At 47.2% G+C, this 27557-nt stretch overlaps 1 long non-coding RNA gene and 2 pseudogenes across 1 annotated transcript, besides 3 other annotated features; 2 read left to right on the forward strand and 1 right to left on the reverse strand.

Moving 5' to 3' along the window:
• MTND2P7 (MT-ND2 pseudogene 7) lies at positions 4724-5434 on the forward strand (annotated as a pseudogene).
• MTCO1P49 (MT-CO1 pseudogene 49) lies at positions 5830-6631 on the forward strand (annotated as a pseudogene).
• Positions 8486-9131: an enhancer, noted in NCBI's record as "NANOG-H3K27ac hESC enhancer chr8:134770744-134771389 (GRCh37/hg19 assembly coordinates)". NCBI's record gives its function as "activates a minimal SCP1, AML or CMV promoter by ChIP-STARR-seq in naive H9 embryonic stem cells {active_cell/tissue: H9 hESC(naive)}" and the evidence as "EXISTENCE:reporter gene assay evidence [ECO:0000049][PMID:30033119]".
• Positions 19104-19724: an enhancer, noted in NCBI's record as "NANOG-H3K27ac hESC enhancer chr8:134781362-134781982 (GRCh37/hg19 assembly coordinates)". NCBI's record gives its function as "activates a minimal SCP1, AML or CMV promoter by ChIP-STARR-seq in naive H9 embryonic stem cells {active_cell/tissue: H9 hESC(naive)}" and the evidence as "EXISTENCE:reporter gene assay evidence [ECO:0000049][PMID:30033119]".
• Positions 21183-21683: an enhancer, noted in NCBI's record as "H3K27ac hESC enhancer chr8:134783441-134783941 (GRCh37/hg19 assembly coordinates)". NCBI's record gives its function as "activates a minimal SCP1, AML or CMV promoter by ChIP-STARR-seq in naive H9 embryonic stem cells {active_cell/tissue: H9 hESC(naive)}" and the evidence as "EXISTENCE:reporter gene assay evidence [ECO:0000049][PMID:30033119]".
• Positions 25536-27337, reverse strand: LOC101927798 (uncharacterized). Its single transcript, NR_125422.1, has 3 exons — positions 27284-27337; positions 26955-27100; positions 25536-26376 (listed from the first exon to the last, which is right to left on the reverse strand). It is a non-coding gene; the product is annotated as an uncharacterized LOC101927798 (long non-coding RNA).
• Between the last annotated feature and the right edge of the window lie 220 nt (positions 27338-27557).

The raw sequence follows: 27557 nt of genomic DNA on the forward strand, positions 1-27557 counted from the left end.
TGTGGTTTTGTGAGAATTCTATAATGGGCACAGAAAATTTACTTTCAACCTATCGAGTCTTGACAAATATAGGGATATTGACCTTAATAAAGCTCCTGCAAAGGTTAACGGAAGACTTCCCTTTGGAGAGCATATCTTTTGCGTGTGCTCTGAGACCTTCTAGCATTTGCCAACTACTGAGAAGCTATCTGTCGTTTGGCCAGGCCCCTCCTTCTCCCCCACCCCAGGTCTGAAAGAGAATGGGGGAGAGAGTAAGAGACGGGCTGAGGGCAAGAGGATAGGGTCTGGGTCCGTTTACAATGGCCAACTTGCCGAGTGACCTTAAGAAGTCACTTCCCCTCTGAGTCACACTTGGATGATCTATAAAGCATAACCTTAAAACCCACTGATTTACATGATCCTGGCTAGGGCCTAAATGTTTGTTTCCTTCTAAAATTCTTTTTTTTTTTTTTTTTTTTTTTTTTGAGACGGAGTCTCGCTCTGTCGCCCAGGCTGGAGTGCAGTGGCGCGATCTCGGCTCACTGCAAGCTCCGCTTCCCGGGTTCACGCCATTCTCCTGCCTCAGCCTCCCAAGTAGCTGGGACTACAGGCGCCCGCCACTACGCCCGGCTAATTTTTTGTATTTTTTTTAGTAGAGACGGGGTTTCACCGTTTTAGCCGGGATGGTCTCGATCTCCTGACCTCGTGATCCACCCACCTCGGCCTCCCAAAGTGCTGGGATTACAGGCGTGAGCCACCGCGCCCGGCCTACTCTAAAATTCTTGTGTTGAAACTCTAACCCCCAAGATGACGGTCTTTGGAGTTGGAGGCTTTCCCAGGTGATTAGGTCAAGAAAGTAGAGCCTTCATGAATGGTAGTAAGTGCCCTTCTGAAAGACACCCCAGAGAGCTCCTCGTTCCTTCTGCCACATGAGGATGCAGTGAAAAGACAGCCATCCCATGAGCCAGAATGTATCATCAGACACTGAATCTGCCACTGACTGACCGTGGATTTCTCAGCCTCCAGAACTATGAGAAGTAAAGCTCTGTTTGTGTATAGGCCTTTCATTCTATGGTACTCATAACAATGGCCTAAATGGACTAAAACAATTCTAAATTGACATTTCTCTAGCAGTGACATTCCTGTGTCCTCATCTGTGTGATGGGCATAACACATTCCCTGGCCTCCTGGGGCTGTTGGGAGGGTTGACTTAATCAATACATCACTGTATTGGAACAGAACGTGGCCTGTAGCATTAAAATGTGCCTGCTCTTTCTTGAAGTGCTGTCTGTGTACTCTGAAGAACACAGTCTTCAGAAGAAGTCTGTGAGGACACAGTTGTCCCATTTTACAGAGAACGATGTTGTGCTCAGCCTCAGAGAGATGCAAACCCACCCAGCATGTTAATGTCAAAACTGGTCAGGATTGAACCTGAGGACCTGGGACTCCACTCTCAGGGACTCTTATTTCTAATCATGGCAAAATATATGTAACATAAAAGTTACCATTTTAACCATTTTTAAGAGTATAGTTCAATGGCACTATGTATATTTGCATTGTTGTGAAACTATCACTACCATCCATCTCCAGAATATTGTCATCATCACAAACTGAAACTATACCCATTAAAAAACTCCCTGTTTCCTCCTTGCCCAACCCCCGGAAAACATCATTCTACTTTCTGACTCTATAAATGTTATTACTCTAGGAGCTTCATATAAGTGGAATCACACAGTATTTTTTCTTTTGTAACTGGCTAATTTCACTAAGCAGAATGTCCTCAAGGCTCATCCATTTGTGGCAGATGTCATAATTTCCTTCCTTTTCAAGGCTGCATAATATTCCATTGTATAGATCACCACCATTTTGTTTATCCATTCATACGTTGATAGACACTTGGGTTGTTTCCACCTTTCAGCTATTATGAATGATGCAGTTATGGACATGAGTATACAAATATCTACCTGAGTCCTTGCTTTTAATTATTTTGCATATATACTCAAAAGTAGCATTGCTGAATCACATGGTCATTCTATGTTTAATTTTTTGAGGACCCACCGCACTGTTTTCCACAGAAGCTATAATTTTACATTCCCACCAACAGAGTTCCCAATTCTCTACATCCTTGCCAACACTTGTGCACAGGCCTCTTTTTAAAACCAGCTCAGAGTCTACCCATGTGAGGACAAAGTAGCTGCTCAAAAAACTCTGGCTGCTTGGCAAGCAATGGAGCATGGAGACCACACCAGGAGGCTGTCAGACACTTTGGTGGCCTGTCCAGGCCACTGGGATGATTGGAGCCCAGAGCCATATGTGAAAACTGAGATACTAAAATCTCTTCATGCAGGTTTCAAAGGCCAGATAAGTACCTGCCTCTATTGGCTCTCACTACTGCATGGCAACCGTGATCCCTCCCCAAAGCCTCCTTTTTCTGAAGCCTTCTCATTAGGGTAAGCAGGGCCTTCACTTATCTGGCAGATCAGGTCAAAAGTCTTAGAGTCACATGACTTGTCTATTTCTCTCACATTCAACCCCACTTCATCAACAACTCTTGTCAGCTCTACCATTGATGTCTATCCAGAATACTATCACTTTTCACCTCCTCCCCTGACCAGCCTGGTCCACACCACCTTTATTTCTCACCAAGGTCCCATTGAGGCCATAAGGATCCTCTCAAAACCTGGGGCAGCTTAGAGTGTTCACCTGCTCAGAGCCTCCAGAGCTGATGCCCTCACCAAGGTCAAATCCAAAGGAAGTCCCCACCACCACCTACAGGATTATAGGATCTCCTTCCAGGCCTGGTGACTTTGCTAACTCACCTTCTAACTCTCCCTTGCACTCTCACATTCCTCCATGGCCTATGCAGTGGCTGTTCCTCTATAGGAATGTCCTTTTCCTGGGATGGCTCTCTTCTCCAGCAACTCTGCTCAAATGTGTCTTGTTGGTGAGGACTTCCCCAACTTCCCTTTATACAACAGCACCACCCTGCCCTGGGCTGCACAGTCATCTCACCCTTTGGGTTACTTTCCTGGAGCTTCCCTAACAAATTACCACAAACACAGGGTCTTAAAACAACAGAAATTTATTCTCTCAAAGTTCTAGGGGCCATAAGTTGGAAATCAAGATGTCAATAGAGCTGTGTTTCCATACAAGCTCTAGGGGAGAGCCCTTCTGTATTAATCTGTTTTCACACTGCTATAAAGAACTGCCTGAGACTGGGTGTTTATAAAGAAAAGAGTTTAACTGACTCACAGTGCCACATGACTGGGGAGGCCCCAGGAAACTTACAGTCATGACAGAAGGCAAAGGGGAAGCAAGGCACATCTTACATAGCGGCAGGAGAGAGAGCCAGAGATCAGCCAAACACTTTTAAACCATCAGACCTTGTGAGAACTTACTCACTATCAGGAGAAGAGCATAGGGGAAACTGCCCCCACAATCCAATCATCTCTCACCAGGTCTCTCCCTCAACATGTGGGGATTACAATTCAAGATGAGATTTGGGAGGGGATACAGACAGAGCCTAACCCTATCCCCTTCCTTGCCTCTTCCAGTTCCTGGTGACTCCAGGCATCCCTTGGCTGTGGCTGCGTCACTCCAATCTCTGCCTCTGTGTTCACATGGCCTTCTTCTCCATGTCACTGTGTGTCTTTTTCTGTCTCCTATAGGGACGGTCTTGTTAGAGGCAGGGCCCACCCTAATCCAGTATGGCCTCATCTCCATTCTTACCTTAATTATATTGGTCAAGACTGTATTTCCAAATAAGGTCACATTCTGAAGTTCTGGGTGGACATGAGCTTAGGGGACACTATTTAACTCACCATAGCTCTCTCTTTTTTAACTTCTTGCACTTATGACCAATGACCATCTGATAGAATCCCAATTTAGTTGTTTAATTGCTGAGTCTCACTATAAGAACATGAGCTCCAGCACCACAGACACCAAATCTGTCACTGCTGTGGCTCCGCAGCAGGGTTTGGCACATAAGAGGGGCTCTGTAACCATGTGTGGGCTGGAGGACTGGATGTCGGTGCCCCTCAGGGGCTGCTTCTGCCTTGCCAGGGGTCCACTGTGCTAGCAGCACCCCATGAGGCTGAGGGTTCCCTCAGTCCCCTGAGCTGGAGTCCCGTCTCTTTGGGTGGCCAACATCCCTGGAGAGCAACTGAGACCCTGCAGCCAGCCTGGCCACACTCAGGCTGCACAACAGTTTGTAAAATGGATTACTGTCTCTATGTGAGTTTTCTCTGATTAAGGAGGTGAAGTGTAGGTGGAATTGATTGGGTGGTTGAGAGATTATTAATGGATTTTTGTTGTATTATAGGATTTGTTAATTGTTTTTGCATTACTTTTTAGAGTTTAAAAAGGCTAATAAAATGAAATGAAAAGGTACTGTATATTCACTGAAAAGAAAAGACAAAAACCGAACAGTAAAATCTGAAGAAAAATCTTTGTAATCCCACAACCCACAGGCAACCGTCTCTGGCTTGTTATCAATCAGTTTTCTGTGCAGTATGAATTGTGGTTGAGATCATACCCCACACTCAGTTTTAAATCATGCTCTTTTCCCCTGAAAATTAGGCGATGAGCATTTTCCATGTCATTAACGACTAATAACAGTTACCACTTGTGCCGTGCTTACAGGGTGGGAGGCACTGGGCCAAGCACTCTGTCCAATTGACTCTTAATTTTCACAACTGCTGCATGCAGTATGGCAAGAAGTGGTGGGCCTTGGAGCCGGGCAACTTGGGTGCCAGTTCTGGCTCTGTCGCCCCTGAGCTGTGTGACTTTTGGTATGATGGCTGTGCTCTCCATCATGACAAAAACTAGCCCTATCTCGATTATGTTTCAAATTTTCCCATCAACAAACACGAGTATCCTCCTATCTATCACAATCCTATCCATTATAGTGGGCGGTTGAGGAGGACTTAACCAAATACAACTGCATAAAATCCTAGCCTACTCCTCAGTCACTCACACAGGTTGAACAATAGCAGTACTAATCTATAACCCAAACATTACCATTCTAAACCTGACTATTTACTTTATCTTAACAACAACCGCATTTCTAGCATTCAACCTGACTATAAGCACCACAACGCTGTTGCTGTCTCACACCTGAAACAAATTAGCATGGTTGACACCTATAATTCCACGAATTCTACTATCCCTAGAAGGTTTACCTCCATTAACAGGGTTCCTGCCTAAATGAATCATCATCCAAGAATTTACAAAAATCAATAGCCTTTTTACCCCGACCATTATAGCTCTCATAACCCTACTCAACCTGTACTTTTACATACACCTAATTTACTCCATCCCAGGGACAATATTCCCCACATCTAATAATATGAAAATAAAATGAAAATTCAAAAACACTAAACCCAGATTAGTCTTCCCCCCACTTATCATCTCTTCTACACTCCTCTTACCCATCTCTCCATTAATACTAACTATAACTTAGAAATTTAGGTTAAATAAGACCAAGGGCCTTCTAAGCCCTTAGTAAGTAAATTACACTTAATTTCTGTAACAGACCTAAGGAGTGCAAGACTCTATTCTGCATCAATTGAACACAAATCCGCCACTTTAATTAAGCTAAGCCCTTGCTAGATTCGCAGAATTCAAACCCATGAAAATTTAGTTAACAGCTAAACACCCTAATCAACTGGCTTCAATCTACTTGATTGGCTTCTCTACTGGCGGGAGAAGCCCCAGTAGGATTGAAGCTGCCCCTTTGAATTTGCAATTCAACATGAAAAATCACCTTGGGGCTGGTAAAAAGAGGCCTTGACCTCTGTCTTCAGATTTACAGTCTAAGGCTTATTCAGTCATTTTACCTTTTTCCCACTTATGTTCATCAATTGCTGATTGTTTTCAACTAACCACAAAGATATCGGAACACTATACCTGCTATTCGGCGCATTAACAGGGAGAGTAGGCACTGCGTTAAGCCTTCTAATTCGAGCAGAATTAGGCCAATCAGGAACTCTGCTAGAAGATGATCAGATCTACAATATTTTTGTTACCACCCACGCATATGTCATAATCTTCTTTATGGTAATACCAATCATAATTGGGGGTTTCGGCAACTAGCTAGTCCCTCTAATAATTGGTGCACCCGATATGGCATTCCCCCGGATAAATTATATGAGCTTCTGACTTCTCCCCCCATCTTTTCTACTTCTACTTGCATCTTCAATAGTAGAAGCTGGCGCTGGAACCGGCTGGACAGTTTATCCCCCTTTAGCAGGAAACCTAGCACCTGCAGGAGCCTCTGTGGATCTGAGCATCTTCTTGCTCCACTTGGCAGGTTTCTCTTCCATTTTAGGGGCCCTTAACTTTATTACCACAACTGTTATCATAAAACCCCCAGTTATATCCCGGTATCAAACACCGCTTTTCGTCTGACCAGTCCTCATTACAGCAGTCCTTCTACTCCTTTCCCTCCCAGTCCTAGCCGCCGGCATTACTATACTATTAGCGACTGTAACGTCAACGCTACTTTTTTTGACCCTGCTGGCAGGGGTGACCCCATCTTGTACCAACATTTATTCTGATTCTTTGGTCACCCTGAAGTCTATATCCTAATCCTACCAGGCTTCGGGTAATCTCCCACATCGTAAAGTATTATCCTGGAAAAAAGGAACCATCTGGGTTCCTTTTTGGCTGTGTTAGTTTCCTGCGGCAACTGGAACAAATTACCAGATGCTGTGTGGCTTAAAACAACACGCATTTAGACCATGCTATAGCACTCCAGCCTGGGTGACAAGAGCCAAACTCCATCTCAAAAAAAAAAAAAAAAACAAAAAAAACGAGAAAGGTGAGACCTTTAAGAGATGATAGGAGCCCCTCTCCCTCTCCCTCTCCCTCTCCCTCTCCCTCTCCCTCCCCTCCCTCTCCCTCTCTTTCCACGGTCTCCCTCTCCCTCTGCCTCTCTTTCCACGGTCTCCCTCTCATGCCGAGCCGAAGCTGGACTGTGCTGCTGCCATCTCGGCTCACTGCAACCTCCCTGCCTGATTCTCCTGCCTCAGCCTGCCGAGTGCCTGCGATTGCAGGCACGCGCCGCCACGCCTGACGGGTTTTCGTATTTTTTTGGTGGAGATGGGGTTTCGCTGTGTTGGCCGGGCTGGTCTCCAGCTCCTGACCGCAAGTGATCCGCCAGCCTCGGCCTCCCGAGGTGCCGGGATTGCAGACGGAGTCTCGTTAACTCAGTGCTCAATGGTGCCCAGGCTGGAGTGCAGTGGCGTGATCTCGGCTACAACCTCCACCTCCCAGCCGCCTGCCTTGGCCCCCCCAGAGTGCCGAGATTGCAGCCTCTGCCCGGCCGCTACCCCATCTGTGAAGTGAGGTGCGTCTCTGCCTGGCCGCGCATCGTCTGGGATGTGAGGAGCCCCTCTGCCTGGCTGCCCAGTCTGGAGAGTGAGGAGCGTCTCTGCCCCACCGCCATCCCACCTAGGAGGTGAGGAGCGCCTCTTCCCGGCCACCATCCCATCTAGGAAGTGGGGAGCGTCTCTGCCCGGCCGCCCATCGTCTGAGATGTGGGGAGCGCCTCTGCCCCGCCGCCCCGTCTGGGATGTGAGGAGCGCCTCGGCCCGGCCGCGACCCCGTCTGGGAGGTGAGGAGCGTCTCTGCCCGGCCGCCCCGTCTGAGAAGTGAGGAGACCCTCCACCTGGCAACTGCCCCATCTGAGAAGTGAGGAGCCCCTCCGCCCGGCTGCCACCCCGTCTGGGAAGTGAGGAGCGTCTCCGCCCGGCAGCCACCCCGTCCGGAAGGGAGGTGGGGGTCAACCCCCGCCAGGCCAGCCGCCCCGTCCGGGAGGGAGGTGGGGGGTCAGCCCCCCACCCGGCCAGCCGCCCCGTCCGGGAGGGAGGTGGGGGGGTCAGCCCCCCGCCCGGCCAGCCACCCCGTCCGGGAGGTGAGGGGCGCCTCTGCCCGGCCACCCCTACTGGAAGTGAGGAGCCCCTCTGCCCGGCCAGCCGCCCCGTCCGGGAGGGAGGTGGGGGGGTCAGCCCCCCGCCCGGCCAGCCGCCCTGTCCGGGAGGGAGGTGGGGGGGTCAGCCCCCTGCCTGGCCAGCCGCCCCGTCTGGGAGGGAGGTGGGGGGGTCAGCCCCCCGCCCAGCCAGCCGCCCTGTCTGGGAGGTGAGGGGCGCCTCTGCCCGGCCGCCCCTACTGGGAAGTGAGGAGCCCCTCTGCCCGGCCAGCCGCCCCATCCGGGAGGGAGGTGAGGGGGTCAGCCCCCCGCCCAGCCAGCCGCCCTGTCTGGGAGGTGAGGGGCGCCTCTGCCCGGCCGCCCCTACTGGGAAGTGAGGAGCCCCTCTGCCCGGCCAGCCGCCCCGTCCAGGAGGGAGGTGGGGGGGTCAGCCCCCCGCCCGGCCAGCCGCCCCGTCCAGGAGGGAGGTGGGGGGGTCAGCCCCCCGCCAGGCGAGACGCCTCGTCCGGGAGGGAGGTGGGGGGTCAGCCCCCTGCCCGGCCAGCCGCCCCGTCCGGGAGGTGAGGGGCGCCTCTGCCCAGCTGCCCCTACTGGGAAGTGAGGAGCCACTCTGCCCGGCCACCACCCCGTCTGGGAGGTGTACCCAACAGCTCATTGAGAACGGGCCATGATGACAATGGCGGTTTTGTGGAATAGAAAAGGGGGAAAGGTGGGGAAAAGATTGAGAAATCGGATGGTTGCTGTGTCTGTGTAGAAAGAAGTAGACATGGGAGACTTTTCATTTCGTTCTGTACTAAGAAAAATTCTTCTGCCTTGGGATCCTGTTGATCTATGACCTTACCCCCAACCCTGTGCTCTCTGAAACATGTGCTGTGTCCACTCAGGGTTAAATGGATTAAGGGCAGTGCAAGATGTGCTTTGTTAAACAGATGCTTGAAGGCAGCATGCTCGTTAAGAGTCATCACCACTCCCTAATCTCAAGTACCCAGGGACACACACACTCTGCCTAGGAAAACCAGAGACCTTTGTTCACTTGTTTATCTGCTGACCTTCCCTCCACTATTGTCCTATGACCCTGCCAAATCCCCCTCTGCGAGAAACACCCAAGAATGATCAATAAAAATAAATAAATAAAAACAAAAACAAACAAACAAAAAAACAACACGCATTTATTCTCTCACTGTTCCGGGGGCCAGAATCTGGAATTAGGGTGTTGGCTCAGCCATCCACCTCTGAAGACTCTGCAGGAGAATGCTTCCTTGTCTTTTCTTAGCTTCTGGTGTTGCTGGTAATGCTTGGTCTTCCTTGGCTTGTAGATGCACCACACCTCTCTTCTGCCTCTGTCTTCACATGGCTTTTATATAAAGACATCAGTCATTGGATATAGGGACTGCCCTAAGCCAGTATGGCCTCATTCTGAGGCTCCAGCTGGACATGACTTTTTGGGGATCACTATTCAATCCAGTAGAGGGTGTAACCCCCCTGCAGCTCACGTTTCTCATATGTTGGATGCAGAGACTAGTGTCTGTCTTACAAGGTTAGTGCAAATGATTACATGAGGATAAAGATGTGTATCTATGGCTGAGAACCGTGACTAGTGCATTGCAACTTCCAGGGCAGGGTTTGCTGTGACCATGAGGCAGTTTTACAATCATCTCCATCGGTCCACTGAGGAAGTTGTGTCTCAGTTAAAAGTTGCTCAGAGCCCTCGCCCCAGGATGGCAGAGCGGGCACACATTGGAGCTACTGGAGAAATTTCTTGGAGGTGTTCCCTTTTTAGGAGATAGTATCAGTAAGCGATCAAGAGAAGAGACTTCCATGCCAGCCAGGGCTGAGGACAACTCCCAGCTTTAGTCACCAGCTGTGTGGCCTTGGGTGAGTCCCTCAGACTCTCTGAGGCCCCTTCCCTCAGCTGTGACTTGGGACAAACCATACCTATCTCACAGGGCTATTGTGAGGCCAACGCAAATCTGCAGGGGATTCTCAGCTCAAGAGGAAGAACACAGCAATTCGCAAATGGCAGCTGTTATTAGTTTACATTTAAATCTAGTTTTGCTGATTTGACATGTTCACTTGTTAGTTTTAAAAATAGCCTTCAGGCCGGGGGCGATGGCTCACACCTGTAATCCCAGCACTTTGGGAGGCCAAGACAGGCGGATCACATGAGGTCAGAAGTTCGAGACCAGCCTGGCCAACATGGTGAAACCTCGTCTCTACTAAAAAATATAAAAATTAGCCAGGCATGGTGGTGCATGCCTGTAATCCCAGCCACTCGGGAGGCTGAGGCAGGAGAATCGCTTGAACCCAGGAGGTGGAGGTTGCAGTGAACCGAGATTGCGCCACTGCACTCCAGCCTCGGTGACACAGCGAGACTCCATCTCAAATAATAATAATAATAAAAATTTTAAAAAGTAAAAATAGCCTTCATTATGTTTCTTATTACAGAAGTCATATATGTTCATTATGAGACAGTCAGAACATGTAGATAAGGCAAGAGCAAGCATTAATCGCCCGTAATGTTACCATCCAGAAATAAAACCTCCTAACTACCCTTCTAGTATTGCATATATGCAGCTATGTAAAGAAATACGCACATATAGAAAACATACATCTTAGTGGGACATTTGTGAGCTGTCTTTTATTTTAGCTATATGTAATGAGCATCGTGTGTGTGTGTGTGTGTGTGTGTGTGAATGTAAATTGTCATAGCTATACCACATTGTTTCAAGGCCTGTGTTGAACCACAGCCTTATTTAGACACCAAGTGGTGGTTGCCCATCTCATATTTGGTTCATTTCCATGATGCGTCTGTTTCCATGTTACTGACATGGGTTTGTGGTGCAGTGATGGGGCTACTTCTGTGTCTAGCCCAGTGGCCACAAAAGAAAATGGGAATGTCACTGAGGACGCACTTGTTATGGTTCACAAAGCATCTCCACAGCCTCTTCCCAGTGTGCCCTTGCTGTTTGAATGCGGGGCTCCCTTTTGTAGGTCAGGGACTGAGTATTTCCAGAGGCCAAGAAAAAAATGGCAATGTCAGAACCTGAATGCAGGACCTGTCTTAGCAGGGTCTCTGTTCTGCCTGGGGCGGGGACTGAATGTCAAGGGCCTCTGTCTGCTCACCCTTCACCGTGGCCCCCTCTCCTGCTTCTTCCACCACCCAGAGGAATAAACAGATGACTCTCCCTGTGCCTTTGGGGTCCCAAGGCCTTCCACCACTGGGGACTTGAGTATTTGGAGGAACCCTGGAGAAGGATTCCTTCTCCAGAAATGTCCTCTCTGTGCACACTTCTATGACAACAGCTCTTCCACTGTCTGCTTCCTTCCTTAGCCTCTGAGCCTCTTGGGCAGGGACTTTTGTTTTCTTCAATCCAAACTCTTGTATCTAACAAGGGAATTCAATAAAAATTATGCCAGTTGAATCAAGCCAATGAAGAGAGATGAATGGTGGAATCTCAGGCAATAGCTGCCTGCCAGGCTAGAGCCTGTTGGCTACTGTTTGTTTGTTTGTTTGTTTGTTTATTTATCGAGACGGAGTCTTGCTCTGTCGCTCAGGCTGGAGTGCAGTGGATCTCAGCTCACTGCAAGCTCCGCCTCCCAGGTTCACGCCATTCTCCTGCCTCAGCCTCTCAAGTAGCTAGGACTACAGGTGCCCACCACCACGCCTGGCCAATTTTTTTTTTTTTTTTTTTTTTTTTTAGTAGAGACGGGGTTTCATCACATTAGCCAGGATGGTCTCGATCTCCTGACATCATGATCCACCCACCTCGGCCTCCCAAAGTGCTGGGATTACAGGCGTGAGCCACCGCGCCCAGCCTGGCTACCGTATATTAAAGATTTCTTATGCTTTTGTGACATTATACAGATTACAGAGGGCTTTGCTCACATCCACTGTCTTGTAAGGTAGGCTGAGTTTAGATGATAATGATTTGGTTTCACAATTAGAATGATTTTTTACTTCTTGCATTCACTTTTCTTCTGGATCCTATACATTTCTGGTGACACCCTCAACAGCATTGTGAATTCTTATTTTTAAATATTAATATAATGGGAGTAAATTGGTATTTCTTTCCATTAATTGATTTTTAGCAAGTTTGAACATTTTTGGAAAGTGTTCATTTCTGTTCTTCACTCATTCACATCTTGAGGTCTCAATATATTATTTTTTTATCAATTTACATGGGCACAGTCATAGTTGTGACAATTTTTCTCCAGACACTTTTTTTGAAATCAATTTGTAGTTAAGTGCTTATTTTCATGAGAGTTTAGCCTTTTAAGTCATATTTCTTGATTTTTTTCATTTCAGACTCCTCAAACAACTTTAAAGTTTAGAAAGCCATTCGTGTTAAAGATACTTGATAAGAAGAAAATCTAGTTTAGTATAGGTTTTTATGTTTTAATGTGTCATAATTTACTGTTTTAATCTACCTGGAGGCTATTTTGATGCTAGCTATAAAGTGAATTATGAAGACTTGAAGCTACCTTTTCCTTCCCCAAATTAAAAATTAAAAGCAGTCTTTCAATTTCTACCTATTGGTTTATCTTTGCCATCTACACACACACACACACACACACACACACACACATTATTCTAAGTCATCTTCAGGTATTAAATGTAATAAATAAATAAATAAATATCTAGGTATCTATTTCTACTGATAGTTGATGTTGCACGTAAGACCATTGAGACACAGAGAGGCAAATTAATTTTCATGGACTCACCCAGTGAGTTACTGGAACATCTACGAGGAAAACCCATTTCTGTGGATTCTTAACTCAATGCTGTTTCATTGATTTCATCCATTCTCTCAAAAGAGGTTACAACTAACGTCACTTGTTTCCACACTCTGTCTTTCCAATTAGACCTACATTGTCTAATACCATAACCACCAACATGTGGCTGTTGAGAGTTTGAAATATGGCTAGTTCAAATTCAGATAGGCTGCAAGTATCAAATGCGCACTGATTTTTGAAGACTTGATGTGGGAGAAAAAGAACACAAAATGCAAAATTAATAGCTTTTGTAGTAATTACGCATTGAAATGATAACATTGGATTAATGGATCAAATAAAATTTGTAATTAAATTTAATTTCAACTATTTCTTTTTACATTTTAATATAACTCCCCCCAAATCAAAAATTACATATATGGCTTGTATTATGTCTCTATTGGACAGTGCTGAAAACCAGATTAACTTTAAATAGGCATTGTAATTTTTTTGTTTTTATTCTTTTTTTTCTCGCCACTTTATCTTAGTAATTAGCACAGTTTCTAGTGTATAATAAATATTTATATTTATTATACCCACCGAATATTTGTCAAATGAATGAGTGTGTGAATAAGGGAATGACACAACTACAACCCCATCCGCTTGTGAAAGGACATGATTCTCAAAAGTCATGATGGTGGTTTTCTCTCCAAGTTTAAAGGGGTTGGCTAGGCCACATGATCATAATCAAAAGGGTCCCTTAGTCACTAGGGATCCACAGGGAGCAATCTAGGATGGCCCATGAACTCCGGCCATGGAGGCAGCTTGTTTGAGAGCCCCTTATGCCATGATTCTAATCACACTTGGCGGATCTTAAGTTCCTACTCACACAATGTTATTTGCTCTATCGCACTCTTTCTCTTTCAGTTATCACCCCGCAATTCAGACCCCTCTTATCATGCACTTCCTCAACTTCTCTTTTAAGCAGGAAGCTGGAGGTAGCGGAGCCCAGGACACATGTGAGAGCAGAATGTGGTGGGAAGAGCATGCAAAGCAGAGGCCAGGATACATGTGAGAGCAGAATGTGGTGGGAGGAGTGTGCAAGGTGTAGGGTCCCGGGGTCCGGGAAGGATGAGGTTGGCAAGAGGAGAAGCTGCAGGATCAGCAGGGCCTGTGAGTCATCTCTCTCAAGGGCACTACGATGACAATGAAAGCTTCCAGAAGGGGAATGACACATTCAAATTACCCTTTCTGACAGCTCCCTGGGGCTGCTGCATGGAGCATGGATGGAGACACACAGGAGGCTGGTGCAATCTCATGGTGGCCTGCCAAGCAGGGTCCGTGTCCACGGAGCCAAGCAGGCAGACTAGAGAGCGTTTAGGTGCCCAGGAGGGATATGGGTTCCTGGCGTGAGAGCAGGGTGGCTGGAGGAGCTTCATAAGTATTTGCTGTCTGGATGCTTGGATGGGCGGATGCTTAGATAGTGGATAGATGGTTAGATGCTGTGCTTTCTTCAGACCTCTGTGCCTTAATACTCTGTTCACCTTGGGTGTCCTAAGTCCCCATGGTACTTGACAATTTGTCTCCAGCCTCCTTTCACTCTCTTTTTCCAAGCTCCCTCCTTTGGGTGCCCACAGCATCCTGCAGTCACCTCTAAGCTCTCCACTAACGTTGTCGCCTGACTTCTCTGTCTCCGTATACTTTAATAATGGAGGGGCCCTGGCCTTTCTTTTCTTTGTGCTCCTAGTGTCTGGCTTATAGAGGATATTCAGTTGGTGTATGTTGAATGAACGGATATGTTAAAATAATATCCAAATTCACCAGATTATAGTCTCCATGACAGCAAGAGCCACACCTGCCTTAGGCATCATCCTGTCCTCATGTCTGCCTGTGACACACACTGGCCTTATGCAGAGGTAGAATCAGAACTTTCTTAAAGGGTAAGATATGAAAAATTTCTCAGAACAAATCTGTGCTCCTAAGAAACTGCTCTAGGACCACACTATTCTTCATTCTTGCTACATCTACTGTAAGTAACTGGGAGAGAGACCTTTTTCTATTGAGGGCTTTGGGACTTGGCACACTCACTTATGCACTTCTTCATTTTCTCATTCATTCCTTAATTTATTTATTTTTTCACCATCTTTCAATCTCCTGTGGTCACAAAACCCCCGGTGTTGATATGCTGGTTCTGGACATCGTCCTCCATCAATCAAGCAGGGTGATGGCAGAGGTGGCGTCCAAAACTCAGGATGTCCTGAGGGTGCGTTCCTTGCCCAGATGTCATTCCAAACAACACAATCTGTCTTCATATTCCTAAAGACCTCTGCGAGAAGCAATAGTCATAGGTGCCTTAGGGGAAGAGATGTAAGCCTCCTGAGAAAGACTCCCCTCAGCCAGAGGAAGGCTGCTCTGTGAGTTGGGGTACTCTGCTCCATGGGTATAAGGAACTTCCTAGGGGCTGGCTGTGGACCTGGCTGAGCTGCTGCACAGCCATCTATCATGTAGGTCACAGGCTGGGAGAGGTGAGCTCTGATGCCCATTCTAACGCAAAGTTTCTTGCAATGTCACTTTCCCTTAATCTACCTTTCATGTTTTTCAATTAATGTTTTAGCATCTTGAATGGAGAAGCTGTGTTTCATAAAGCCATTGCCATGGTCCAAAATATGTTAAGTTTGAATCTTTGCTCATTAACTGTGTGACGACATGGGAGCTGCACAACCTCTCTGAGTCACCTTCCTCCTTCCTCAGTGAGGAGACCCATACCTCCCTCGTGGTTTTCTGTGTATGTGAAAACACCCAGTACTGCCTTTGGGACAGAATCCCGTTCATGGACTCCCAACTCTGTCATTTATAGCTGAGTGACTTCGAAGAAAATAATAGAATTCACCTTTGGAATTCCATTAGTTGATATATGCAAAGCTTTTAGAACAACACCTGCCACATGTAACATATGAAGCATTATATAAATGTTAGCAATGATTATTATTTGTATGTGCCCTTCTAACACCCTGTATGTCCCAGTGAGTCCTAATTAGGGCATCTTTGCATTGCCTATCTTCATCTGTCCAGTCCCCCATCTGCAGCAGTGCCTTCCTGCCCCATTCCCACCCCAGATCCTGGCAGAGCCCGGATCACAACAAAAGCTTAAGTCATCCACAGAAATTACTGAAGGAAGAGGCTGCTGTCACCTGTCACTCAGCTCCACAGCACCATGTCCAGCTCAAGGACAGCTGGACTTCCCAAGAGCACTATCTGAGGAGTCCTCCCTTTGGGCCAGCACCACCACATTAGACATCTCCAGGGGGTACCAGGACTCATGCACATTGGCGTCTCCACAAATGGGACCCAAGGGACACTGTTTTTTGGGTGAATGCTCTCCATGGGAGCTGTGGGACCTCAAGGCCCTGACTGCTGTGCCAGCCTCGTGTGCTGGGCCTCTCAGGAGCACCCAGGGATGGGCACGGGGCCTGGGTAACAAACACTTCTCTGTGAGGTGCAAGGGATTCCTGTGAAGCTGCAACTAACCATGTAAACTGAGTCTGTGTTGTTGATAAAATATTTCAGGGAGATGTGAAGTACTAGTGGCCACAGATCATTTCTGACTTCGCAGCTGGGGAGAGGTTGGTGTTAGGGCAGATGAGAAAGAGAATGCTGGGGGAGTGTCGGGAATTCCAATTAGTTCTGTGCTCAGGGCTGACCCTGTTTTCAAATACTTGACCCAAGGCATGTTTGAAGCAGGAAAATAGGGTCTGGAGGCAGGAAATATAAGGCCAATTCACACTTCAGCTGTGACAGGAAATATCCTCTCCTTAGAGCAGACACAGAGTAAATGACTTTGTAACTTTACTTCAGCCTCTTCATTTATATACGGCGTACACCAAGTAGCCAGTGGAAACCCTTAGAGGGTATTTAAACCCATGCAAATTCTGTAACAGGGCCCTTGAGCCCCTATGCTTGGGCCCACTCCCACCCTGTGGAGTGTACTTTCATTTTCCATAAATCCCTCATTCTTTCCTCACTTTGTTTGTGTGTTTTGTCCTATTCTTTGTCCAAGATGCCAAGAACCTGGACACCTTCCACCAGTAACATGTTGACATGAAGCCCTTTGTGTGCAGTTTTCCTATGGGAAAAAGGCCTCAAAGATGGGTTTACTTTCTATAACCCATGTGGAGTCCCATGCTGGGAATCTGAGGGGGCCTCTCGTGGGAAGATGCTGTGAAATACACCTAGGAGAGGGTGTGTGTGTGTGCGTGTGTGTGTGTGGTGATCGTGGTTGTAGTGGGGGGTGGAACTGTGTGTTTTGAAGTTTTGGGGATTGTATGCACTATAAACAGACTCCAGTTTGTTTAATTAAGGATAAAGGTTCATTAACTGGAAGATCCCTGGCCTGCTCAGGGACTGAAGAAGAGTTGAACAATGAAGACGCCCACAGTGCAAGAAGTGGGTGGCTTGGGGAAATGGCAGCAAGTGTTTTCGGTTCTCTGGAGATCACGGGTGGGCAACAATTTTCTGTAAGGTGCCAGGTAGTAAATAGTTTCCGCTCTGGGGCCATACTCAGTTATGCTTATCCTGTGAAAGGAGCCATAGGCTGCATGCATGAGTGTGGCTGTGATCCGATGAAACTCTATTACATATTTACAAAAACAGGCAGTGGCCGAATTTGGTCCTCAGGCAGTGGGAGCTGGCGCCTGGCCTGGACTGAAGCTATAATTAGGATGGTGATTTCCTCCCTGCGGTCACTGCACTTTTTCCATGTGGGACTCCACCTCCTCAAAGGAGTGATTCTGTTGGGGAAAGCCAGGCTGTGATTGCGTGGAGGCAGAAGCAGCTCCATCTCGGATGCTGATCTGCCACGTTGACCTCTGATTAACCCCAGTTCCGGGATGCCTCTAAGATTTGGCTTTTATCTACTCTTCCTTGCGTAAGAGCATCTACTTACCTAGTAAATCCTGCCATTAGGTTAAACTATCTTGAACATAAATCCTGCCCTTAGGCAGATTCACATTCATTCTTGTCTTTCCCTTTCCCTGAGAGGTCCACTTCAATTGTCCTACACATCTCTTCCCTGGGTCTGAAGGTAATGGCCCAGGGAGACCATGTCTCTGGAGACTGGAGCTTGTTTGTAAGTCTCTGCTAAATGTTGCTTTCTGAAAAACAATATGTCAGCCTCTTTCCCCGGCCTCTCAGCTTCCTCAGATTTTGGAACAGGTGTGCATAGGCCTACCCACCAAGACAGATCTGTTTAGTACCCTAGGCTCAAGCCAGTCAATTCACTGACTCACCACTGACCACAATGATTGGCTCAAGTTGTTCCAATCAGATTAAAGCAGGGGCTTTTGTTCAGTGAAAGAGAGAAAGGTTTTTCTCCTGATCACCTCTCCCTCTCTTTCCCTTCCTCCATCTCTTCCTCCTGTACAGGAACAGCTGATATCTGTGCAGGAGCACATGAAGTCTGACGTTTTTGTCGAGTCAGGATCCAGGGCTTCTGCCCACATCCCTTTCCAATCAAGTCACACCAGATTGAGCTAATTCCATGTCCTGAGCTCTTACTATGTGCCAAGTGCCAGTGAGTCCCAGCAGGTGGAGAGATGCATGAGCCAGAAGAAACAATTCCCCATGTCCTCAACAGCTTGTGACTGGCGAGGAAGATGGAAGCACAACCAACAAAATCACAACACAATGTGATGCAGCAAAGATGAAGCATGAGGACAAGGCATTGCCCTTGCATAGAGGAGGTGGCAGGGCTGGAAGAAGGAGGTACTGGACCAGCAGAGGTCATGTCGGAGCAGATACTTGAAGACACTGTGGCTTCACCGGGACACATGCACACAGAGAAACATGTGCAGCATCACAAAGGGTGAAAAACCCTGGTGTGCTCAGAGATCCCTCTTCGTATCTTTCATAGTCTACCTGCCAAAGTGAGACCTGGGCTTCTTTAGAATGACAGACCCAAAGAGGTGCCTCAATGCCATCACTCAATAGCTGATTGAAGCCCCAGCCAGCAGATGCTGGGAGCAGCTGACCTTGGCCGAGCCCATTGATGGCAGAGGTAAGGAGCTGGCTCTCCAGGACAGATGTCCTCAGGTTACATGTGCAGCCGTCAGGCTTCTGCCTGAGCCACCTCCAAGCAAATCTGCAGCCTTCTGGACTCTGTAATGCACTGCATGAGGCTGGGTTGATGTCAAATAAACTTGCATCCCAATTCTGGCCCAGAAATTTTTCATCTGTGTGACCCTGGGCAAGTCACTTTATGTCCCTGACTGCAGTTAGCTTATATGCACAAAGAGGTTATTTAAATCCGTCTCCAAGAGTGGTTGTGGGGCTGGAAACATGTGTATAGCCAGTCTGGCACACAGTGGAGCTTAGTAGCTATGAGAAAGGAATGTTACTAATCCCGTAAGGCTGGTGCGGGGGTGTGCAAGGACTCCTTGGAAGCAGAGGTTGGCAAGGGCCAGAGCTTCAGAACCTGTGGAAACAGGTGAAGACTTCTTTGAGAAATCAAGTCTGTCTACTCTCCCGGGCTGCTTGAGTCATCGGTTGACCCAGATGTAGCCTTGGGCAGGTATGCCACCATCTTTACCCCTGCGTGACACTCCTAACAAGCCAGGACTCTACACCTGTGTGGATGAGATCACCACCAACCCACGCACACCTCCTCCCAGGACAGGTCCTGACCTTTGACCTTTGGGCTCCTCCCAGAGCTCTTCCAACCACCTGTAAACCAAAAATAAAATTCTAAGCCTCCCAACCAACTGTTGGACCTTCATCTTGGCCAAAAGCATTCCAAAATAAACCCGAAAATCTAGTTCAAGCCATGATGGGAAGGGAAGGTCAGACATACCTCATGATACCCTCATCCCTTTGGAATTCAGGCACAACTGACCAGCATTAGCATGAAAACAAAGATCTTTAGAATGACAAAACAGAATATTTGGTAGCAATAAGATACCAAATTCCAACCTAATTCTAATATAGTATCACATGAAAAATAGCAGGCCCTGAAAGAAATTTTACCACAAAAGTATTTTACCACAAAACAGATGTCTTTGGCTGTTTTTTTTTTTTAAGATTCTTGCTTTGCGCAGGCTGTAGTGCAGTGGCAGGATCTTGTCTCACTGTAACCTCTGCCTCCCAGGTTCAAGTGATTCTCCTGCCTCAGTCTCCCAGGTAGCGGGGATCAGAGGCTTGCACCACCACACCTGGCTAATTTTTGTATTTTTAATAAAGAAGAGGTTTTGCCATGTTGGCCAGGCTGGTCTCGAACTCCTGTGTTCATGAGATACTTCAGCCTCAGCCTCCCAAAGTGCTGGGATTACAGGTATAAGCCACCGCGCTTGGCCTCTTTCACATATTTTGAAATGGTCTGTGAAACTGTCCCTTGAGGAGAAAATGTACTTTCTATGGAGAATCTCCTTCTGTTTCCAGGTCTTTTCGCTTATCCAGGAGAGAATTAACTGAGTCTGGCACCTTTTAAAATCTGATGAGAATATTTACCATCCATTCTCTCTGTACCCTGCTACCTGGAGGTTTTATCTGCAAAATAAGAACCTTGGACTCCACAATCCCTTACTTAACCTAGACTCTCCTTTCTATGGATTCCAGGTCTTTAGATAATAACTTAACCCTTTCAGCCAATTGACCCACCCTCTTCAAGTTGTCCTGCCTTTCCAGACCAAACCAGTGTGCATCTTACATGTATTGATTGATGTCTCCCCAGCATGTATAAAACCAAGCTGTCGCCTGACCACCTTGGGCCCACGTTCTCAGGATCTCCTGGGGCTGTGTCATGGGCCATAGTCACTCATATTTGGCTCAGAAGAAATATCTTCAAATATTTCACAGTTTGACTCTTTTCATAGACATGTTGAAATGCCTGAATGCTGGGACTTCAACCATGCACCATGTATATCTGTTTAAAATATGTATTTGTTTTAAAAATTAATTCAATTAATTACAAATAGATTAATTGATATTTCTGTTTTTAAAATTAAGCCTGATACTATTGAAACAAACAAACAAACAAAATACAGCTTAGATGGGCCAGGACATCCCTGCTGTGGAGGAAGGCTGTTTGAAAGAGCCTTTACCATGCATAGCTTGGTGGGGCAGCTTTCACAAAACCTCCACATTCCTTGTATATGGCTGCATCCACATTTCCAATGAACGGCATGGGTAGAATGGATTGCACTGAGCCTCTCTGGACACTGATGGACTTAGCAGCAAGGCCATTATGCTATTTGATGTTTGGAGGTGGAGGGCCCCCAGGGGTGATTTGTTGTCATTGTTGGGTACTGACTCCTGCATTTGTGGCCAGAGCATTTTCACAGTTTCACAGTTGCGCTCCACTCTGCAGGCTTGTCAGCAGCCTCTGCAAATTGCAGGTCGCCTCCCTCAAGTTGCTAAACCTTGAAAAGAGCAGGACCTCAGCTGCCCAGACAGAGAGTGGTGTCTTTTTCCAAACCTATGGCCAGCTGGGTGGGTGCCCCAAAGGAGCACTGGGGGTTCAGTGAGATGTGAATTCAAGTTCTAGAATGTTCTCATTATGTGCAACCAAGGGGCTGCCTCTTGGTGGCTGTTGCCGCTTTCCTTTCCCTTAGATGTGGTGGGAAGAGCCCCACTGCAGGGCGAGGAGCCAGGGGAGAGGAACAGAGCCTTTCTTAGCCCCAGAATTGTGGCCTGAGAGACCCCAGTAATGCCAACTAACACCAGGCGGGATCCTAGGATTGTCACATGCGAGACTCATAACAGGGGCTTAAGTGAGACCACGTGCTCTGCTGGCTATCCTGGGTCTGTGAGAACATTGACTGAGGTCCCAGGTGACAATGGCTTGCTATGCCCAGCTGGCGGATGGTGAGAAGAGGCCTCATTGAAACCACCTATCGCATCCAGGATCTTTACCGCAGGACCTCTGAGCCACAGAGTGGGGTAGGGGAGCTCTGGGGAACACAGATAGCTTTATAGCTTCTGCTTAGACAATAACTATCTCTCAGGGCTGGGGGAGCCCAGGGCAGCCCGTGGGGCTCCACAGGGAAGCACCAAGAGAAGTTCCCTGGGTGGCCTTAGAACCAATCTTCCCTCCTTTCTCAAGTACATGCAATGTGCTGTGGGAGGCCCTGGAGACGCACTGCCCTTCTACTGCAATCTGTTTAATGATTAACTTCTTTTAGCTCTCTGGACATGTTGAGGGTGGGAGGGGTGTCACCAAATTGTAAATCATCCAGCTGAGGTGAGTGATTTTTGCACCGGACATTGTGCCAGGCATGGGGGTAAATGAGGCCCCCTGCCTGGCCCCCTCTTCTGGGTGCACAGTTGACTGCACAAAAATATGCTCTGCAACAAAGGATCAAAACAAGCCCAGAGAAGAGAGGGTCTCTAAGGGGATGACTGTGTGAGCTCAGCTCCTGGCTGGGCCTTGTTGGGGGGATACAAGAAATGAGTACATCTTTTGTGCCCTCTGTTGGTGTGGATCCGAACCTTCTGGCTGCGTGGAGTCATCATTTAATATTTATTTATTTATTTGTTTTTTCTTTGAGACAGGGTCTCACTCTGTTGCCCAGGCTGGAATGCAGTGGTGTGATCACAGCTCACTGCAGCCTCTGCCTCCTGGGCTCAAGCAGTCTTCCCACCTTAGCCTCCTGAGTAGCTGGGACTACAGGCGCACACTACCATTCCTGGGTAATGTTTTAAAATGTTTTGTAGAGATGAGGTCTCACAATGTTGCCCAGGCTGGTCTCCTGGGCTCAACCGATTCTCCTGCCTCAGCCTCCCAAAATGCTGGGAGCACTTTGGCCACCACACCTGGCCATCATTTAGTATTTAAACAATTATCCCATGTAGAGGTAAAAACCCAGACTTCTCCCTTACTTCGAAAGTTTCAAGGATTCTCAGAGACTTCCTCATTTCCTCAGTTTCTCTTGTACCAGTTCTATGCTTTAACATTAAATTAGTCATCCCAAATACATTTTCTTTCTTTGTCTTGGTTTGGGTCCCCTAACACCCTGAGATGATAACTCGGTGCAAGTTTTCTGTTTGAAAAATCATCCCAGGAAACACTAGTCCTGTAATTGAAGGGGCTACGTTGTCTGGAGTATATAAGCTGGGGTTCATTGTCATGCGCCAGGAAAATTTAGGACATGGACACGCATGAGCAGTTTAGGAGCGGAGGTTTAATAGGTGGAAGAGAAGAGAAAGAGAAATAGCTTACTCTATAGAGGAAGGGGTCTCTCAACGTAAAGGACCGGCTGGTGGCAAATGCGCTGAGTTTTATAGTTCACTTTGAGGACGTGGTGTCAGATTTACGTGGGGCTCACAGATTAGCTAGATCAGGTATGACGTTTACATAGTGCGCAGGGAAGGCTGGTCGCCCACCCTGATCTTCTTATGCAAATGGGCTTTCCAGTTGATCCGTGCCATCTTATCTGCTCCTTACAATACACCTGGCTGGCAGAGAAGGGAAGATGGAGCCTCCATCTTGAAAATATCTAGTCCTTAGTTCCTACCGGCATTCACCCGTGCAAGCTCCCAGCTTGCAGGCTGCTCTTTGTTAGAAAATGATTTGGGGCTGCTTTTCATTAAAAAGAATAGCATTACTGAGGACTCCCATGCCCTTACTATCTGCCTAAGTAATTTATTCTTAACTCCTGTATCATAAGGATGTGGGGAGGTGGCGAGGGAAAGAGGGTCACTTAAGGGTGCGTTATGAAGCCAGGTACTACTGTGGGCAGCTGATCTCAGTCCACTGGGGGCTCTGAGAGATTACATAGAATGTGATGCAAAGTTGTCTCCACTGAGGGGCAAGGAAGCTCGGATATTTATCCTCCACTTCTTCTGTCCGTCGCTGGCTGAGGGCTGATTCTGGGGCCTAATGCAGGCTGATGTGGGTGGCCTCTAGAAGCTGGAAAAGGAAAGTCCTCCCCTGGGGAGTTCAGAGGCCTTAGAGGGAGCAGCAAAGGTGACAGCTATCTACAATGTCATGCAAAATGTGACATAGTATGAGCGAGGGCGGACAGCCTTGGGAACCAAGAAGGGTTCTTGCACCAGCCCGTGGGTGCTGAAGAAGCTCGCTACAAAGATGAAGTAGCTGAGCTCCTTCTGAAAGTAAACTGGGGGTCAGCCAGGGGTGAAAGGCTGCCCTGGGATGATGGACTCCCAGGGGACGTCGTGGAGGAGCCGCATCAGAGAGAAACAGCACAGTGTATTAGGAATACATAGGTGACTTACCCAACACTGGAGGCCTGGTGGGGGCTGAGGCGGGAGGTGAGGCTCAGGGGGTCACCAACACCAGGTGTGAAGCACTGGGGCAGCAGGAAGAGCGGGGCACTCCAAGGAACAATGGGGCCAGGTGTGGGGTCTTGGCATCCTCGTTACACCCAGTTGAGTTTGGGAGAAGGAAGGGGAGGGTGGGGTCACTCTCCCTCTTGGATCCCCCATCACATTGTGCTCGGCAGCTGGGCAGTGCCAGCCCAGGGCGCAGTGCTTTATGAATATTCACCCGCTTACTTTTCAGAACCACTTTGTGGAGTAAATGGTATTATTTAATCCACTGCACAGATGAGGAAACTGAAGCACGAGGATATTAGATTACTTTCTTGAGGTTAACATTGTTGAATAGAGATGTGGTAGACCGAATAATGTCCCTCACAAAGATGTCCATGTCCTAATTCTGGAAACCTCTAAATATGTTATTTCACATGGCAAAGGGACTTTGCCGACGTGATTAAGTTAAGAATCTTGAGACGGAGGAATTATCCTAGATTATTTGACTGAGCCCAATGTAATCACAGTGGTCTCTACAAGAGGAAGGCTGGAGCGGCAGCATCGGTGGGGATGTGATAACAGAAACAGTGTTAGGAGTGATGCAGCCACAAGCCAGGAAATTCAAGCAGCCTCTGGAAGCTGCAGAAGCAAGGAACATGTCCTCTCCTAGAGCCCCAGAAGGAACCCCGTCTTACTGATACTTTGATTATAGCCCCCTAAGTCCATTTTGGACTTTCTGAACTTCAGAACTATAAGATATTCAATTTATGTTGTTTTAAGCTGCAAAGTTTGTGAAAATCTGTTACAACAGCAACAAGAAAGTAATACAATATGTAATGGGCTCCATTCTACCTAGTAGATGGAGTGTGGGTTCCCTATGTGACACTGAGGTGGGAAGACAGACGTGTAAAGGACAGATTCATTGCACAAGTAAGCCTCTGGGATGCCCTAAATTCTAAAGCCTTTGGCGTAATAGTCGTGATCCGTTACAATCTTTCTGAATTGCCATGTTCCCCACCTTCCCCCTGCTAACTTTCCCCAGCCCCTGGCATTGCGGCTTCCCCTGGTGAGGACATGCTATTCATCTGCGCCTTGAATGCTCAGCCCTCAAAGCTCATCCCGCTGGTTCCTCTACCTGGAGATTGCTTTTCCCCAGGTTCAATTTACTCAAATCATTCTTGTCTTTCGAGGTTAAGGACAGCAGGAGGTTTTTATACTTCTTGGACAATAGGACTCGGTCTTTTGGGAACTGGACTATTTAAAGCATTTGAACTTCTAAAAATCCTATAGAGGATTATGGAAGACTTTGTTCCTCGCCAGCTATGGGGTTGGCACACATCAGATTTTTAAATTAGAGATAGTCTAGAATGCTCCTAGGTGGGCGTGAGGGGTAGGAGAAAGGAGAAAGTATTGTTATTGAACACCTCTTTCTGCCAGGTGCTGCAGGGGCCCTTCTTCTTTTTGTGCTTCTTATCCAGGTTGACGAGCACATGGTTAACAGAATGCGCTCCAGAGCCAGAATGTTCAGCTTCAAATTCGAACGTTGCCAGCTTCTAGCTATCTAACCTAGGGCGACATCTTATCTCTATTCTTTCCTTTCCTCATCTATAAAATGAGAATAACAGCATAGGCCTTGTTGTGAGGATCACACAGTTAATGCATTTTAATATTATTTTTATTTTATTTTATATGAGAGAGGATCTTGCTTTGTAGCCCAGGCGGGAGTGCAGTGGTGTGATCATGGCAACCTTGAACTCCTTCATGCAACCTTGAACTCCTGGGCTCAAGCGATCTTCCCACTTCAGCCTCCCTTGTAGCTGGGACTACAGGTGTGCACCACCACACCCTTCTGATTTTTTGTAGTGATGGAGGGTTATCACTATGTTGCCCAGGCTATTCTCAAACTCCTGGGCTCAAGCGACCCTCCTGCCTGGGCCTCCCAAAACGCTGGGATTACGGGTGTGAGCCTCTGTGCCTGGCCCATTTTTAGCACTCTTCAAATGGTCTCTGGCATCTGGAGGATGTGAAATAGCTGCTAGTTGTTATAATGATGATCATCAATGTCATAGTTACAGCATCCTTATTTCTTACTCCACGAAAAAGATTTATTGTCATCTCTATTTTGGAGGTGACAAAACTGAAGCTCACAGAGGTCAATTGCATGCCCAAAGCCACATGGAGAGCGGATCAGAGATGGCTTTCAATACCAGAGCTCTCTTTTAGTGCCGAGCAATTTCTGAAACTTTATTTTCCTCTGTACGTCCAGGACACACAACACTTGGGCTGTCTCTTCCCAGTGATCCGATTCCCAGGCCCTTGGGCTCTGTCAGTTCCAATTCCCAGCATGCTCAGAGGCTCTGTCCTTCGATAATGAGTTCTCTGTCAATTACCAGCTCCTGCCCAGCAGCCTCCGGGGCAGTGTGGGCCAATTGTCCTGTCAGGCTGGGGGCTGAGCAGAGCGTCTCAACTTGGGCAGCTACTCAGTGGTCAATCACAATCTAAAACAGAGACATCAGGGTGGCCTTATGCCCGGTGATTTCTGGAAACCAGCCAGCCCTTCTCCCCAATAAGACACTCAATTTCTCAGCATGCAGTTTTCTACCAGACTTTTTATGCTAAGCCAGGCTAGTCCTGATTGTAATTGGTTCTGGCTAGTTCCCGTAGGAGCTGTTAAATCTTTTATTTGCTCACTATCTGGGGAAGTCCTCCACCTTTGGGAACTAACCCTTACACCCCTAAGAAAAGGTGTCTCCCCTGACCCTTGCTAGAACATATTCTTTCACTCCTGTCCCACCTCACCCCAGGCATCAGCAGTATCTTTAAATGGACATTATTTTTAATCTTCTAGAAAAACTAGTGTGCCCTGATTTCTTTGGTAGACTTTAAGCCTAGGGCTCCAAACATCTGCTTCTCTGTAGGGAGTATTTGCTGGCAAATCAACCTTCTATTCAATAAGAACTAGCCAGTAGAAGCCCTGCCAAATTATCCTTGTGCTTTCTACAGGTTTCATTGGAAGTTTATGGTGTTCAACATGCGTGGTCACTAAGTTTAAATGGTGCATTGATTTAGGATTTACCTCTTAGCTGGAGATGGTTTCTCATCAGCCCAGGATCCTAGTAACGGCACAGAGCTGGAGCTGTCTGTGGTCACAAAACACTTGTCACAGCTATGATCCTATTTGGTCCTGAGAGTAAGTCTTCAAAGTAGCGGTTATTTTTATCTCTGTTTACCAGATGAGGAAATGGGGCTCAGAATGGTTAAATAATTTGCCCCAAGGCCAAAGAGTTATGACAGACCCAGGATTTGAACCTGATGTCATTTGAATGCCAAGCTTCTTGTTCTTTTTACTGTGTCCATTTTCAATTGTCTGTTCATTTATTCCAAGCCTATTTATTGAGAGCTTACCAGACAATGATCTAGGCCCCAGGAGCCCAGCAGCAATGAAATGGTTTCCACCCTGGGGGAGAAAAGCAATGAACAGACAATATTGGAAAGTGGTAATTGCTCTGCAGAGGATTTAAATAAGGTGAGGCTGGTGGAAGTGTAAACTGGGACAGGCTCTGTAAAGAGCAATTGGGCAATAGCTATCAACATTTAAAATGTGCATCGACTTTGATGTGGCAGTTTGGCTCCTAGGAAATTTATCCTACAAACATGTTAGCACATATGCAAAGCAGCT

Source organism: Homo sapiens, chromosome 8, assembly GCF_000001405.40.
Source record: "Homo sapiens chromosome 8, GRCh38.p14 Primary Assembly".
In the NCBI taxonomy this organism is placed as follows: domain Eukaryota; kingdom Metazoa; phylum Chordata; class Mammalia; order Primates; family Hominidae; genus Homo; species Homo sapiens.